The 15256-nt window shown below is 54.8% G+C and overlaps 1 protein-coding gene across 9 annotated transcripts in view, besides 1 other annotated feature; it reads right to left on the bottom strand.

Moving 5' to 3' along the window:
• The window catches only part of RAP1GAP2 (RAP1 GTPase activating protein 2), a 282097-nt gene that overhangs the window by 234067 nt on the left and 32774 nt on the right, over positions 1–15256 (bottom strand). For 7 of the 9 annotated variants that reach the window (XM_047435668.1, NM_001411048.1, NM_001438816.1 and 4 more), the window contains one exon: positions 3125–3160. In XM_047435668.1, the coding sequence (XP_047291624.1) occupies positions 3125–3147 (23 nt within the window). In that variant the 5' untranslated portion in view covers positions 3148–3160. Of the gene's footprint in view, positions 1–3124; positions 3161–7103; positions 7238–15256 lie in introns of those variants that run through there. The other 2 variants (NM_015085.5, NM_001100398.2) reach the window with 1 other exon arrangement.
• Positions 10771–11010: an enhancer, noted in NCBI's record as "active region_11499". NCBI's record gives its function as "activates an Ori minimal core promoter by ATAC-STARR-seq in GM12878 lymphoblastoid cells {active_cell/tissue: GM12878}" and the evidence as "EXISTENCE:reporter gene assay evidence [ECO:0000049][PMID:35858748]".

Raw genomic sequence — 15256 nt, 5'->3', positions numbered from 1 at the left:
ACTCCTGACCTCAAATGATCCACGTGCCTCGACCTCCGAAAGTGCTGGGATTACAGGCGTGAGCCATCGCGCCTGGCCGCGATACGTTTTGAAATCAGGAAGAATGAGTGCACCAACTTTGTTCTCCTTTTTCAAGATTATCTTTGAACTTCTATGTGAATCTCAGGATCAGCTTATCCATGTCTGCAAAGAAGCCAGCTGGGATTTTGATGGCAACGGGTTTCCAGTTCCTGGTTCAACCACTCCTGAGCTCTGGCTTTGCTTCCTCCCCTTCAGTTCCCTGGGGCACCCTGCTTTCTTCCCCATAAATTCCATCTTTTGCGTAACCAGATGACACTGGGTTTTTGTTTCTTGTAATCAAAGGAATCTTAACCAATAAAACTCCGAACACAGTGCTACACACTGTCCCAAGCTATCATCCCAATATCGCCTTCCCAGATAATCACTCAGAGACCTCACTGGGGTCCCAATCTCAACCCTGGCCCACGCCCCCAGCTTTTCACTCTACCCTATAACTGGTGCACTTCCAGGTTGCAGATATTATATTTACAAACAGGCCCTCCCTCGATAAGTGCTTGTGAGATTGAACTAGATGTCCCAAAACAGCACCAAAAGAACACTCTGACCACTCTACACCCCTTAGCAGCTCTGCTTCATGCCTGGCGTCTCACTCAGTATGCAAATATGCTCTAGAAAGCTCTAGGAAAACCAGACATTATTGTGTCCACTGGACAAAAGATATGGAAACTAAAGCCCAGAGAAGGGAAGCATCTTGTCCCGGGTGACTTGCCCTGACACCTCCAGATTGAATGGGTCTGCACTGATGCACACACCATGCCAAGCCAGCACAGACATGGGGGTCCTACTATCCTGCTTCATCTCTAAGAGCTACTTTAGAGGCCACCTCCTCCAGGCAGCCTTTCGGGACTACTCCATGGCACTCCTGGCATCAGCTCTAGACTTTTTTTTTTGAGACGGCATTTCACTCTTGTCTCCCAGGCTGTGGTGCGATCTCGCCTCACTGCAACCTCCACCTCCCAGGTTCAAGCAATTCTCCTGCCTCAGTCGGCCGAGTAGCTGGGATTACAGGTGCCCGCCACCGCGCCCAGCTAATTTTTTTTATTTTTAGCAGAGATAGGGTTTCACCATGTTGACCAGGCTGGTCTCGAACTCCTGACCTCAGGCGATCCACCCACCTTGGCCTCCCAAAGTACTGGGATTACAGGCGTGAACCACCACATCCAGCTTCCTGGCATCAGCTCAACAGAGAAACTGAAAGCTCTTGAAGGGCAGGAAAAGTCTGTCCTCCATCCCGGCCCTGCGAACTGCCCAGCCTCACCTTTTTGAACAAAACCAACCAAAGTGGGAAACCTCTTATTTTGACCCTCTTTTATGCCAACCGTCAAGACTGGCCGTACTTTGCCCAGGGACCTGCATCCAGGGGATACACAACCAGGGCTGGCAACTGAATGGCATGACAGAGGGAGACTAGGCAGGGAAAACCTTCTGCCGAGATGGGGGAGTGACAACCCAGAGAAGCTGCCTCGGAAGGAGGGCGATTCATTGGAGGAATTTTCCATGCAACAGTGAATTCACATGTGCCGGGAGAATATTTTGAGCTAGAGGCCAATGCTTTTTTCCTCCTAGAATTTCCCTCCTTTTCAATTCACTCCACTGGAGCAGATGGTTAGCCAGTACTCATTGCCTCATGGGAGGGGTGCAGCTGGACGCAGGCTACACTTTGGTTAAGTCTCAAAAGAAAAAGGAGATCAGGATGCAGACAAAATGGTTTGGCCAGAAACGCAGAGGAAAAAGGAATGAAGGTGGTGAGGGAAGAGAGGTCAGAGGTTCTAGGAGAGGGCTGTGCCTGCTTCGGACCTCAGCAGACGGACCAAGAGATACACGGTAAACCGAGGCAGGTAATTCCCACACCCTGAGTCTGGCGTGGGAGCCTCAGAAAGCCCCAGGGCCAGGCTGCCCATGCTGACATACCTGGCAACAAATGACTTGATGAGCAGCTGACATCACACACACACACACACACACACACACACACACACACACACACACACACACATACCCTGGAGTGTTTAGTCAGGTCCTAGTAGGCGGGGAATGTCAGAAAGTCACTGCCAGGATTGGGAGTTCACATAAAAATTAAAGTGATAAAAAATGTAATTATCTTTCTTTTTTTTTTTTTGAGACAGAGTCTCACTCTGTCCCCCAGGCTGGAGTGCAATGGTGTGATCTCGGCTCAATGCAACCTCCACCTCCTGGGTTCAAGTGATTCTCCTGCTTCAGCCTCCTGAGTATCTGGGATTACAGGCAAGTGCCATCACGCTCAGCTAATTTTTGTATTTTTAGTAGAGACGGGGTTTCACCATGTTGGCCAGGCTGGTCTGGAACTCCTGACCTCAGGTGATCCACCCACCTCGGCCTCCCAAAGTGCTGGGATTACAGGTGTGAGCCACCATGCCCAGCCCAATATATATCTAAAAACTAAAGTGATAGGAAGATAATGGGTCTGGGCTAGGCGCAGTGGCTCACGCCTATAATCCCAGCACTTTGGGAGGCCTAGGTGGGCGGACCATGACGTCAAGAGATTGAGACCAGCCTGGCCAACATGGTGAAACTCCGTCTCTACTAAAAATACAAAAATTAGCCAGGTGTGGTGGTGGGCGCCTGTAATCCCAGCTACTTGGGAGGCTGAGGCAGGAGATTCACTTGAACCTGGAAGGTGGAGGTTGCAGTGAGCAGAGATCATGCCACCGCACTCCAGCCTGGCAACAGAGCAAGACTCCGTCTCAAAAAAAAAAAAAGAAAGAAAGAAAGAAAGAAAAAGAAAAAGAAAAAAAAGAATAATGGGACTGAATGTTACACCTGCTACACACACTCCCACCATTCTAGCCCCTGGTGATTCCATTCCCACCTCTACCTCTCCCTGAACACCCCAGGAATAAGAGTTAGTCCAGCCTCCTCCGATCTGGAAGCACCATGGACTCGGACTGGAATCTGACAAACACGACAGCCCCTCTTGTGTCTCCCACAACCTGGGGGGAGCAAGGGCCCGGCGCTCTGATCCGCGTCATCTCTGACCTTTACAGAACAGGAAATTGCTACTTACTTGACCTTCAGACTTGCCAGCATGGTCTTGTCGATCCTGCCAAGAGAAAAGCAAGGGCTCCGGTCAGTGCTGAGGCTGAAGACTCCTACATAGCATCTGTATGGAGGAGTCCCCGGGACAGCCCAAACCACCAGACAGCAGGGCTCTGTCAGGGACTGGCTAAAGGGGCCAGTTCTCCGCTAGCAGGGGGAGAGACGCCTCTGAGTGCTGGGAGAGCTGGGGCCACACACCACCCTACAACATGCGTATTATTATTCTCCCCATTTCAGAGATGAGGAAACCCAGGCTCAGAAAGGTAAAATCACTGGCCCAGTCTGAATTCAGGTATCTCACGTCAGGTCCAGGGATCGTAAGCACTTTGTATGCAGCCTCTCCCTTTATTACGGCTACCCTCGCAAGAGAACCCAGCAACCCGGCTTCAGGGGTCAGCACGGATGTCAATCTGAATGCCAGGTGGACATCCATATTTCCCAGGCGTCTGCTTTGGGAAGACGCAAGCATCCCCAGCCCCAGGGACCCTCCTGCCCAAGGAGCCACCAGTCCATCCAGGGAGGCAGACCCTGCTCCTGGGGCAGACCCTGGTGGGTTGTATCAGGCACAGAGGTTCAGAGCGGGGAAGATCACGTTTGCTGCAGACTGCCCTCACAGCCAGCTCCTCCATCCCCAGCCTGTGCCCGCCCTCACTGGAAGGGGAGACAGCGCCGCTGAGGTTCTATTTTTACCCCCCTGCATATGCCAGCCCTTATGGCTGGCAAGAAGAGGCCCCTCCTCCCTCTCCAGAGGCAGAAAGGTGGACAGTGTTCCCACTGTCAGTATCTCCTCTTGTGGAAGGGTCGTGACCACCACTGTCACCAGCACTGCCACCAGCACCAATGCTGCCTTTGCAACATCACGATTCGTGTCACCATCACTGTCCATGTCACCACATGTCATCATCAGTGTCACCATCACTGTCAGCTTCACTAAAACTGCCACTGGCTCCAGCATGCTGGAGACCCTGGAGGCTCTTTCCGGCACCCTTCTCTGGCCAGCCCAGCGCTGCCTCAGGCTTCCCACAGTCACAGCTCCAGGGAAGAGGAGAGGACACGGAGCTGAGCCAGCCCACAAGTCACCCTGAGGCCTGGAGCTAGGGGACGGGGTCCTTTCACTCTGAGTAAACTCCCAGCACCTTCTGATCTCAGTTACAACAGCAAAGCAAGCGGCACCCCGAGGGGCCTGGCCCACGTCTCTCCCAGTTTCTTCCTCACACGTCCTCTTGAGTCCCTTCCTTAGGGCTTCCACTACTGGTCCCTGAGGGTCTCACCCTGGAATCCCCACCCGCTCTGGGGTGCAGACCCTCCTCTTCCCCCATTCAACGCACAGACACCCAGATCCGAGCAGGACTCAGAGCCCCACACTCTGCTGTAACGCGTGCAACCCAGAGCTGCCGGATGGCAGCCCCTCACAGCAGGCGCTTAGGTTTTACATTTTCTCAAGGAATCTCCTAATTCTTACAACAGCCCTGTGTTGTGGGTAAGGCAGAAATCCCCCACTGACACAAGGGGAAACTGAGACCCAGAGAGAGGAAGTGTCCCATTAGAGTTCCTCAATGGTCAAGGTGGAGTCGGCGCTGGAACCGCTGGAACCGGGGCTCCTGGTGCGTGCACCTCTGACCGCTGTCGGGTCAGCCCCGCCCACCGCACCACCTACAGGCACCGTGGTCACAGCAGCCCTGGTTCAAACCACGCCTACACAGCAGCCAGCCCACCAGAGTTCCCACATCAGGGTGTGGCCTCAGGAGGGCAGGGCTCTGGTTTTGGAGAGGCTGAGATGGGAGATGGAGAGGACTGTGAGGCTGGGCCTTTCCCTTTCAGGAAGCCAAGGCTCCTGGGCACTCCTCCCTCTCCCATCCCATCCCACCCACCCTCATCACCTTGTCTGCCCCTGGTGCCAGAGGTTATCCACCCTGCATCCAATGGAGCTTGGAAAACACCAGCCCCAGAGATTCTGTTCACTGTCTGGAGGGACCAGGGCTCCAGGAATCCGTGACACCCCCTCCCAGCTGACAGCCATCCCAGATGAGGAGGCCCAAACCCCAGTCTCGCCCCCTTTCTTGCTGCCTTAACCTTCCAAGCCCAGAAGGCCCCGCCATCCCGTCAACCTCAAGGGGCCCCAAGCAGACACCTGCTGTGTGCAAAAGACCTCGATGAGTCCACAAGCATCGACTGAGCCTGTGTGACATGCCAGGCTTCCAGGTGAACGCGACGGGGCAGGGCCTGCCCTCCTGGAACCCACAGCCTAGTGGACACTGAGCCAGCACACAAGGGCGTCTGGGACATCCTAGGGCTCTTCCTCCACCTTCGGCTCACCCTAGACCTCCTGAATCTGAATGTGCATTTCATTAAGGAAGCCCCAGTGAGAAGGGCTGCTAGAGAAGAACTTGGAATTCTGCTTTCTATCTTGGCAGCCCTGGGCAGCCACACTCCTGTCTTCCCCCTCACCTGCCCAGATTCAAATCTCAGGCCTGGCTTTGCCTTGTGCTCTGGAGCTGTGGGTCTCAACACAGAGGGCTTCATATGGAATGAAGCTAGGCTGAGACCGGGACCTGTGCACCCGGAGCTTTCTGGCGACCAGCCTTCCATCTGCTCCACACCTCCCAGAGAAAGGCGGGCCTTGGAGGGCACAATCTAATTGCTGGGCCCTGCCCTGCAAGGCCCACAGCCAAGACACACACACCCCTCCCAACCAGAAGCCAAGTCCTCTGCTGCCTCCCGGACACTGGCACCTACCCTCGGGGTGGCAGCTCCCAGATCCAGGCGTCAGGGAGGGCCCGAGAGCAGACACAGGCGACGCTGTGCCATCTTCTCATCCGCACCATCCCATCTGCCAAACATGGAGTGCCCACAGTCCCCCCCTGCCAGAGGATGGATGGCAAAGTGCTTTTGAAGAGGAGGAAGAGGGAAATAAGCCACACACACGGAAGCGAAAAATTACCGAGGAACACAGCCCCTCTCCCCCTCGCCCTTCGTGCCACCCCCATTAGTCCACCATTTTCCACACCGGGACACCCCCCGGCCACCTCCCGCGGGGCCCTCTCCCAGTCTGACAACGCCCCCAGCCCAGGCACTGAAAGGAAACCGATCATGAAAACCACCAGACTCTGTTCCCCAGCTGCGAAGAAGCTGCCAGCACTGGGAACCAGAGACAAGCCTTTGGCCTTCGTGTGCCTACCTTCTGCCCCCCGCCGGGAAGAAAAAGCACATCCCTCATCCCAGACAGAAGCTTAGAGGCAAGAGTGTCCAGAGGGCCAGGCAGGAGGCTGGGGACAGATGCAGCTGCTCAGGCTAGGACAGAGCTAGGGTGGGCTGCCTGGGGTGCAGGTGGGAGACCTTCTCTCACAACCCACCCCCAAGACAGCAGGCAGCCCAGAGGTCCAGCAGGTACAGACTCCCCTGCCACAAGGCCACAACAACAGCACAGACAGGAGCATCACACACACAAACACGCAGACACAAGCACACACAGACACAGAAGGCCAGAAGTGCAGACAGGCAGCTGCCCACATGCACAGGCACACACCTCACACACGGTCACACGGACTGGCAGTCACAGCCACACACACACGCCTGCACACACAGGCTCAAACGCGCACACACACACTTACACATAATCCCAGACACGCACACACATACATGGGAACCTGCGGACACAGAGACACACACATTCAACTGCAGTCACACTCATGCTATCCACCTCCCCACGGGCAGCCGGCGCAGACCTCCAGGATTCGCCAGCAGATTGTGCCCAGGGACAGTGGGGAAGGCTTACGGTCTCTGATGTCCCCACCAGGATCCTGCATCTCGACCTGCCAGGGCGTCAGCAGACCCAGCTCTCAGGCACAGCCCGAGCCCCTCTGTTCCCACGGCCGCCAATGCACTTAACAAGACTTCACTTCTAAGTTCTCTCCCATCATTCCCCCACCCTCCCACCTGTCACCCACCATCCGAAGCCCCCAAAGGAGACACTGCGCTTCCGGCCAAACATGGTTGTGGCTGCAGAGCCCGGGGTCCCAGCGATGTCCCAACGACGTCCCCGGGGCTGTCCGCAAGAGGGCCGTGGTACAGCGGGGTCAGTGCCGGTGCAGGGCGGGGAGCCCAGCGTGGCACCTCCCTCTTCGCCTGCCCCCAACCCGAGCTTCCTGTGGGTGAGGCTGCAGAGCTGGGAGGTGTGTCCTGCACTCCAGGAGGCACCAAGATAGGCCGAGGAGGTTGTGGAGGGCAGCTTCCCCACACCCAGAGGAACCCACAGCTCCGGAAGGGGCTCGGCTGGCAGATTGCTCCACAGCCCCAGTTAGCAGCCCGGCCCACACAGCCCCAGCTTCCTGGAACCCAAAGGCGCCCCAAGGATTCCCACAGCCACGCCTAGGAGGGACAGAAAGATTCAGCTGGAAGCCTCAGGGACGCCTGAGCACTGGGGACCTTCACACCCACTCCCGAGGGCTGCCTGAGACAGGGACCTTTGCCTGCCTGCCCCACCATGGCTCGGCACACGCCAGAGGAACCAGCCACACACATGTCATTCCACTAGCACACGTGGATGTAAGTATACATGCACACGCATGGGCACAGGGGCACGTGGGATGCACACATGGACACACACACGCCCAGGATACCCAGGTACACACAGATACATGCACGCAGACATACGTATCATTAGACACCTGTACACACCTGAGCACAGCGCGGCACACACGCTCCCGTGCACATCCACACACCACTTCACACAGGCATCAGTAGACACACCTGCACACGCTTCTCACATACTGACAAAGCCCCATTGGACACGTGCACAGACATGAACGCATACACATGTGCCCGCAGGCACTCATCCACATACTCAGACCACATCACACTGCAAGGGGCATTCGCATGTACACACACATGGGCACAGAGCTGTACCTGTCAGCCGCCCCCCACCCCCGCCGCCAAGTGTCTAGACAGAGGTCAGAGCAGTGGCATGCTTCACGCTGGCTGTGTGGGGTGGGGGGGCGGTACCCATGTGCGGGTGGATTTGTCTTCCCAGCTGAACCGCAGGGTTCGTCCTCATCTCTGCATGCTCAGGTGCTGGTCCTCATGCCACAGGGCTAGCGTGTCCTGCACGCATCCCAGTCTGCACACCACAGGGCCAGTGCTCATCTCTGCACGCACTGGTGCTGACCACACCTGGTACACAGCAGGCACTTACTAATGGCAGCCCCTCAAAGGGATGTGGCACGTACACTACAACAGACACTGGGGGGAGTGGGCACAGATAGGGCCCCAGGCCCCACCCTACCCCCAAGCAGTGGAGAAAGGGAAGAAAACGTCTCAAAAAAAAAAAAAGAAGAAGAAGAAAGGCCGGGTGTGGCGGCTCACACCTGTAATCCCAGCACTTTGGGAGGCCAACGCGGGTGGATCACCTGAGGTCAGGAGTTCGAGACCAGCCTGGCCAACATGGTGAAACCCCATCTCTACTAAAAATACAAAAATGAGCCAGGCATGATGGCAGGTACCTATAATCCCAGCTACTCTGGAGGCTGAGGCAGGAGAATCGTTTGAACCTGGGAGGCAGAGGTTGCAGTGAGCCAAGATCATGCTGTTGTACTCCAGCCTGTGCAACAAAGAGCAAAACTCCATCTCAAAAAAAAAAAAAAAAAAAAAAAGGAAAAAAACGGCCCTAGCTGGTGCCATTGGCCTCTCTCTCTGGCCAACCCTCCCTGAAATTTCCTCTCTGGCACCTGCTGCCACTGTGAAGGTCCTAGACTCCGTGCTGAGGTGCCAGGGGCCAACCCCAGCTTGTGGACGAAGGGTACAAGGATTTCTATTTTCTTGACTCCTTCACAGCAGGGGACAGCACAGGGGCCTCAAGCCCTGAGTGGGCTGGGGGAGCAGCTTCAGGGTCCTGGGCCAGAGCAGGGCTGGGGGCTGACTCTCTACCTCCAAGGCAGCTAGTCCCCAGCAGGAGCCCGGAGGCTTCCCCCAACCCTCACCTCTGCCCCAGGAAAGTTAGGATTGTGTGGTTCATGCTCTGGGGTGGCTTCAGGCTGCTGGCTTCCCACAGGATGGCCACTGCAGAGTGCCACAAGCGCCTCTCTCCCCAGAGGCACCCACCCACACCCAGGAAGTGCTCAACAGGTACCGTGGACAACTTGGGTCCTGCCTGCCCTGCCTCCATCTGAGAAGAACCCTCTGCACTCAATCCACCTCCAGGGTCAGGAGTGGGCACCTGACCAGGCCTGGCCAGCCAAGGGGACTGGTTCAGGAGACCTAAGTAAACCCAACAAGACACCATCCCAAGAGGCTTCCCCTGCTGAAGCATGAGATGAAAGCCTGGGGCTGTGGAGAGTGTGGGGAAAATGAAACCGACTCACAGGAAGGCAGAGAAGAGAACTGACAGAGAAAGGGAAAGAGGAGAAAGATCATGTCTTTTTTTTTTTTTTTTTTGAAGAGTCTCGCTCTGTCACCCAGGCTGGAGTGCAGTGGCACGGCTCACTGCAACCTCCACCTCCCTGGTTCAAGTGATTCCCCTGCCTCAGCCTCCCACATATCTGTTTACAGGCGCCCGCCACCACGCCCAGCTAATTTTTGTGTTTTTAGTAGAGACAGGGTTTCACCATGTTGGCCAGGCTAGTCTCGAACTCCTGACCTCCGGTGATCCACCCGTCTCAGCCTCCCAAAGTGCTGGGATTCCAGGCGGGAGCCACCACACCCGGCCAAAAGATTGAGTCTCAAGGGCATCATCTGAGCTCCAGGATCCGGCTGTGCCAGGAACCAGCTGACCCCGGGTATAGGAGAGCCAGCCGTACGAATAAAGAGTTATTCCTAAAGCCAGTATGAGTTGGATTTCTTTCATTCTCCATTAATAAAGTCCCAACTAAAGAAAAGAGCTTGACAAGTGAACAAGTGAAAGTGGGAACAGTCAGCCCACCTGGCCTCCCGCCGCTGACAGCAACACCTGCTCTAGGCCAAGCACCATGCTGGGTGCAGAAAGCACCAGGGTGAGCCAGGTACAGCCCACAGCCTCAGTTGGGAGGTGCTGGGGTTGGAGGTGTTGCATACGTTGCAAGAATTCCTGTTGCAGGCCGGGTGCAGTGGTTCACGCCTGTAATCCCAACACTTTGGGAGACCGAGGCAGGGAGATCACCTGAGGTCAGGAGTTCGAGACCAGCCTGGCCAACATGGTGAAACCCTGTCTTTACTAAAAGTACAAAAATTAGCCGGGCGTCGTGGCACATGCCTGTATTCCCAGCTACTCAGGAGGCTGAGACAGGAGAATCGCTTGAACCTGGGAGGCAGAGGTTGCAGTGAGCCAAGATCACGCCACTGCACTCCAGCCTGGGCGACAAGAGCGAAACTCTATCTCAAAAAAAAAAAAAAAAATCCTGTTGCAAATTACTTTTTTAAAAAATCAGTTAGAGGGAGTTAATGACAGGCCCATCTTTGGAGTATACGTTGATGCGCTTTCATACATGAGAGAGAAGCGGGGTGATAGTCACATCACACTTGGGCACGCCTCACCACCCACACTGACCACATGTGAAAGCTGCCCGCCGCATGCATTCTAGGGGAAGACAAAGCTGACAGATGCTTTTATCTGGGGCCTCCCGGTCTATGGAGACAGCCAGGTAAATGCCCAGCTATGAACACCTGGACCAAGTGTTCCCAGAGCCGGGACAGACTCCGGCCCAGGCACAGACATCTGAACGGCAGCCTGGAGACAGGGAAGGGGTGCGTTTCGAGGCCTCCGCTGCTGCCACCCTGAGGCTGGTTTCCCCCACCGGGGGGTGTGCCCCTGACAGCCACAAACAACACTCCTGAGTCAGACACCCGGCCAAGGAGCAGGACTGGCCCGGCTGCCGGCCCTGCAGAACCCACAGCCTGGACTTCTTCGATGCCGCTGGGATCCAGGAACCTTGGAGAAACCAGGAGGATCCAGGGGCCCACACGTCCCCAGACTGAGGGCTGGAAAGGGGGAAGGGACTCTCCCAGACGGCTCATGGCCCATCATGAGCCCTGCAGGGTGTGAGAGTCTTCCTAGGGCCTTTCCCACGCTGCCTTCCTCTCCTTCCTTGGGGCCCAGCGACCTTGGGCAAGTTACCTAATCTCTCCAGGCCTCAGTTTTCTCTTCTGTAATTTGGGGAGGCTGCCACCACCTTCACGAGTTTATCAGCAAACAGAAACACTGAGCACGGGGCTCCAAGGCCGTCACGGGAGCTGCTATCATTACTGTCAAGGACGATTCTGTCCCTGCTTCAGTCCCGCGCAGCTTCTTGACCCCCTGCTCTGACCCTGTGATTCCTCTTCCATGTGCCGTGCACAGCAAGGAGACTGTGGGCTCCCTGGGAAGGATTGTGAGTCAAGAGACAAGGGAAGCGGCCAGGCGCACTGTCTCACGCCTGTAATCCCAGCACTTTGGGAAGCCGAGGCAAGCGGATCACCTGAGGTCAGGAGTTCAAGACCAGCCTGGCCAACATGGTGAAACCCCACCTCTACTAAAAACACAAAAATTAGCCAGGCATGGTGGCGGGCACCTGTAATCACAGCTCCTCGGAAGGCTGAGGCAGGAGAATCGTTTGAGCCTGGGAGGCGGAGGTTTCAGTGAGCCAAGACCGTGACATTGCACTCCAGCCTGGGTGACAGAGTGAGACTCCATCTCAAAAAAAAAAAAAAAAAAAAGAGAGAAAAGGGAAGCGGTCTGTGAAGCAGGCCCAGCCCTCCTGGCCCCATCAAGCACAGCCCAGCTTCCTCCCAGAGCTCAGCTGACTCTCAGCAGCCAGCGGGGAGAGGAGGATGAGCTGCGGGCACAAGAGAGCCAGGGCAGCACCGGCATCTGTGAGTCTCCTGTGGGCCAGCGCGGACCAAAGCGCTTAGCTTTTCAGCCTCACAACCCCTCTGAGAGGGTGCCCTGTTATCCCATTTTACAGATAGGAACACTGAGGCTCAGGGAAGTGAAGGAATCCAACCAAATTAACCCAGCTTGATGATTATCAGCCCCACTAATTCTGGATCCACAGAAATGCACAGTGCATCAGTGCCCATGTTACAGACAGGAAAAGTAAGGTCCTAAAGCAAAACTCAGCTCATCACTGGGGAGAGAATAATGAAGATGGAAAGAGCAAGTACCCAGCTACCCCCAATGCCTGGCTGGACGGGCTCCTTCTCTCTCAGGCTCAAAACGCTTCCCAGAGCCTGCTGTGGGTCACAGTTCACAAGGGCTGTAGGTGTTTCTCGGGGACCAGCCTGGGGCAAAGTCCCAGCCAGAGTCCCAACCCCAGGGCAGAGCTCCAGGGAACTCACCCAGTTCGATGGGCATTTTTTTTTCTTTTTTAGAGAAGGGGGCTCGTTCTGTCACCCAGGCTGGAGTGCAGTGGCACTATCTCAGCTCACTGCAACCTCCGCCTCCCAGGTTCAAGTGATTCTCCTGCCTCTGCCTCCAGAGTAGCTGGGATTACAGGCACCTGCCACCACACCTGGCTAATTTTTGTACTTTTAGTGGAGATGGGGTTTTGCCATGTTGGCCTGGATGGTCTCGAACTCATGACCTCAAAAGATCCGTCCACCTCAGCCTCCCAAAGTGCTGGGATTACAGGCGTGAGCCACGGCGCTCGCAGCGCCCGGCCTCTACGGGCTTTTGAGGCAGGTAGAGCCAAGAAAGCTGGCTGGGCTCAGAGGAGGGGGCAGTTCAGGCTCCTGTCAGCAGCAGCCCCTCCACTGTGTCCCCTGGCCCTCGGGGCAGGACGGGAGGAAGGGACAATGTGGTTTCCTCTGCTCGAGCAGCTCAGACCTCATAGCCACCAGTGGGAGCTGAAAGATGAGACAAGCTCCTTCCCCAGGCATGGGGATGAGGCAGTTACAGGAAGCTCAGGAAACAGATGTCCCGAGTGAAGCAGGCACTAGGTGGTCTGACCCAGATCCTCCCCCATCCAGACAGTAGTACCCATTCCAGCCCCAGTACTAACCCCCTGGAGCTCAGCTCTCATCCCAGATCCACCTCTAAGTCACTGGGGGCAGGTGACCTACTCTTTTGAGACTTCAGCCTACTAGTCATCCAAGGGGAGACTTAGACTGGCCTCTGCTTCCTTCATAAACCATATGAAGATAAAGGGTGATAGAGAGGTCGGGTGCGGTGGCTCACGCCTGTAATCCCAGCGCTTTGGGATTACACCTGCCAAGGCGGGTGGATCACCTGAGGTCGGGAGTTTGAGACCAGCCTGACCAACATGGAGAAACCCCGTCTCTACTAAAAATACAAAATTAGCTGGGTGTAGTGGCTCATGCCTGTAATCCCAGCTACTCGGGAGGCTGAGGCGGGAGAATTGCTTGAACCCAGGAGGTGGAGGTTGCAGTGAGCTGAGATCATGCCGCTGCACTCCAGCCTGGTGACAGAGGGAGACTCCATCTCAAAACCACCAAAAAAAAAAAAGGATGATGGAGAAAGATGCTGGTCTCCAGGGAAACAGGGCACAGTGGGCATTCAGGGCCAGCAACCCCACATTAGTGAAGAATTCACGCCTCAGGGTCAAGATAAAAACAGCACCTAGCATCTGCATAGTGATTTACAGTCCACAGATCACTGCCCACCTGCACTATCTCAAGGTCCAGACTAAATTTCCCATTGCACAAGTGCTGAAAAGCAAGATGATGGCAGATTGCAAAGGGAGGGCTTGTAAAAACTGAGTTCCAAGAGCAGGGCCCAGACATATACCACAATTGCACAATTTATTTATTTACTTTTTTTTTTTTTTTTTTTTTCAGATGGAGTCTCACTCTGTCGCCCAAGCTGGAGTGCACTGGTGCAATCTCGGCTCACTGCAGTCTCTGCCTCCCAGGTTCAAGCAATTCTCCTGCCTCAGCCTCCAGAGTAGCTAGGACTACCAGTACACGCCACCATGCCTGGCTAATGTTTTTTTTTTTTTTTTTTTTTTTAGTAGAGACTGTCTGTGAGTCGTTTCACCATGTTGGCCAGGCTGGTCTTGAACTCCTGACCTCAGGTGATCTGCCCGCCTCAGTTTCCCAAAATTATTGCAGTTTATTCTTATCTGTTCAGTAAGGTCCATCTGCCAAGAGAGTTTTAGCCACACATGGCTCTGAACTAAAGAAGCTACGAAGTTTACTACAGTTAAAAATTTTAAATAATAACAAGGTATCACTTTTACCCATCAGATAAAGTTTTAAAAATTTGATAATGCCGGCCACGGTGGCTCACACCTGTAATCCCAGCACTTTGGGAGGACAAGGCGGGTGGATCACCTGAGCTCAGGAGTTCGAGACCAGTGTGGGCAACATGGTGGAACCCCCATGTCTACAAAAAATACAAAAATTAGTGGGGCATGATGGCAGGCACCTGTAGTCCCAGCTACTTGGGAGGCTGAGGTGGGAGGATCACTTGAGCCCAGGAAGCAGAGCCATGATTGGGCCACTGCACTCCAGCCTGAGTGACAGAGCCCAGACCCCATCTCAAAAAGAAAAAATTGATAATTGTGTAAAGGTATAAGGAAACGGGCGTCCCATTAATGTGTAGCTATTGGGCAATATCTCTGTGCTGGTTAAATTTATGTGTCAATTTGACTGGGCTAGGGGATATCTCCATAGCTGTTGAAATATTATTTCTGGGTATGTCTGTGAGTTGTTTCTGGAAGAGATTAGCCTTTGAATTGGTAGACTAAGTAAAGAAGATGCCGCTTTACCAATGTGGGCCGGCATCAACCAATCCACTGAGAGCTTGAATAGACGAAAAATGTGGAGGAAAGGAGAGTTCATTCTCTGCCTGAGCTGAGAACCCGCCTTCTCCTGCCCTCAGCTATCAACGCTCCTCGTTCTTGTGCCTTAGGACTTGGACTAGAACATACCACCAGCTTTCCTGGATCCCCAGCTAATAGACGGCAAATCATGGGACTTCTCGGCCTCCAAAATTGCATTAACCTGATGGGGTGCAGTGGCTCATGCCTGGCTGGGGCTCAGTAATCCCAGCACTTTGGGAGGCCAAGGCAGGTGGATCACTTGAGGTCAGGAGTTCGAGACCAGTGTGATCAACATGGTGAAACCCACGTCTCTACTAAAAATACAAAAAAAAATCTGGGCATGGTGGCGGGCACCTGTAATCCCAGCTACTCAG

The sequence above is a fragment of the Homo sapiens genome, chromosome 17 (assembly GCF_000001405.40).
Source record: "Homo sapiens chromosome 17, GRCh38.p14 Primary Assembly".
In the NCBI taxonomy this organism is placed as follows: domain Eukaryota; kingdom Metazoa; phylum Chordata; class Mammalia; order Primates; family Hominidae; genus Homo; species Homo sapiens.
Note: the sequence above shows the minus strand (reverse complement) of the source record. Positions and strands in the feature narration are given on the sequence as shown.